We start from the raw sequence: 1,645 nt of genomic DNA, 5'->3' as shown, positions 1-1,645 counted from the left end.
TAAGGACTTAATCCTGCCATTTTGTTATTTGTTTTCTCGTTGTTTTGTGGTCTTCTCCTCCTTTGTTTCTTCCTTCTTGTCTTCCTTTTAGTGAAGGTAATTTTCTCTGGTAGCATGTTTTAATTTCTTGCTTTTTATTTTTTGTGTATCTCTTATAGTTTTTTTTATTTGAGGTTATCATGAGGCTTACACAGAATATCTTATAACTCACTATTTTAAATTCATGGCAACTGAGCACTGATTGTGTAAGCAAACAAACTAACAAGCAAAGAGAAAATTAATAAAAATTACACTTTAACTTCTACGCTCTACTTTTTAACTTTTTGTTGTTTCTATTTATATCTTGTACTTTCTGTATCTTGAAAAGTTGTAGTAGTTATTTTTGATTAGTTCATCTTTTAGTCTTTCTAATCAAGATATGAGTAGTTGACACTAGTAATTACAGTATTATTCTATTCTGTGTTTTTCTATGTATATACTATTACAAGTTAGTTTTACACCTTCACGTGAATTCTTATGCTCATTAACATCTTTTTTCTTTCACATTGAAGAACTCTCTATATCATTTATTGTAGGACAGGTCTGGTATTGATGAAATTCCTCAGCTTTTGTTTGGGAAATTATTTATTTCTCCTTTGTGTTTGATGGATATTTTGACTGGATACGCTACTGTCACAGGATCCTTAGGGTGTAGTTTTTTCAGCTGGAAAACTCTGTGGCCAGTGGCACTTTTGCCCAAGTTTTGCTCAGGCCCTCTGGGCTTGTTCAGCCTACTCGACCTGGAAGGCTGAGCTTGAATCATGCTACCAGCCCAGATCCCATGCCTGCCAAGGGCAAGGCAGGTATGGAGCGGCAATGGGTGTGTGAGCGAGTGTGGCATCCGGCCACTGCACACAGCCAGGTGTGCCAGCTGTGGCAGGGCAGGCAGCTCCAGCTGGCAGTATAGGCACTGGATCCATGTAAGGCTGCAGCTGGATCAGGCATAATGCAAGCAGCTTCCACTTTGGCTCCAGGGAAGACGGTGGCACTTGAAAGCTTGGAGATACCAGGAATCACAGAGCCCTGGAGAGAGCATCACAGCCCTGGCTCAGAGAGCCCTTAGGCCTGGGAACCATGAAGGGCTGCAGCTCATCTCTCCTTCTTGTCACCTGCAATGTGGTGGGCAGCAGGCAAGTTTCAGCCCTGTTTGTGTTACAGCTCTTTCAGTCCTACTATTTGGTGAGTGCCTAGTTCTTGTCCTGCATGCAGGAAGAATGAGATACTTGGACAACTGGAGATTGAGCAAGGTGGAGAAGAGCTTCACTGAGTGACAGAAGAGCTCTCAGGAGATCTGAAGTGGGTAGCTCCTTCTGCAGGCAGGTTGTCCTGATGAGTTTCCAGCCTTCAGTGGAAGGGAGACCCGTGGTGGATATTTCCTTTCTACAGCTGGTAGTCCTGATGTCTGTGTAACTCTGGCTGAATCTGGGGTTTTTATGGGCTCAGAAGGAAGGAAGAGCATGCTGATTTGTCCATGGACAGCCATGCGAGGGCCCAGGAAAAGCACCGTAAGTTCTCCCTCCAGGCCACAGAGTCTACCTGGAATTGGCAGCCAGGCCCCCAGGCTTCAGGCTGTCCCTGACTTAAAGATAAGGTTTCACCAGGGACC

At 44.1% G+C, this 1,645-nt stretch overlaps 2 annotated features.

The window, feature by feature from the left end:
- Positions 396-895: an enhancer, noted in NCBI's record as "H3K4me1 hESC enhancer chr5:19209859-19210358 (GRCh37/hg19 assembly coordinates)". NCBI's record gives its function as "activates a minimal SCP1, AML or CMV promoter by ChIP-STARR-seq in primed H9 embryonic stem cells {active_cell/tissue: H9 hESC(primed)}" and the evidence as "EXISTENCE:reporter gene assay evidence [ECO:0000049][PMID:30033119]".
- Positions 896-1,397: an enhancer, noted in NCBI's record as "H3K4me1 hESC enhancer chr5:19209357-19209858 (GRCh37/hg19 assembly coordinates)". NCBI's record gives its function as "activates a minimal SCP1, AML or CMV promoter by ChIP-STARR-seq in primed H9 embryonic stem cells {active_cell/tissue: H9 hESC(primed)}" and the evidence as "EXISTENCE:reporter gene assay evidence [ECO:0000049][PMID:30033119]".

Source organism: Homo sapiens, chromosome 5 (assembly GCF_000001405.40).
Source record: "Homo sapiens chromosome 5, GRCh38.p14 Primary Assembly".
Lineage (NCBI taxonomy): Eukaryota > Metazoa > Chordata > Mammalia > Primates > Hominidae > Homo > Homo sapiens.
Note: the sequence above shows the minus strand (reverse complement) of the source record. Positions and strands in the feature narration are given on the sequence as shown.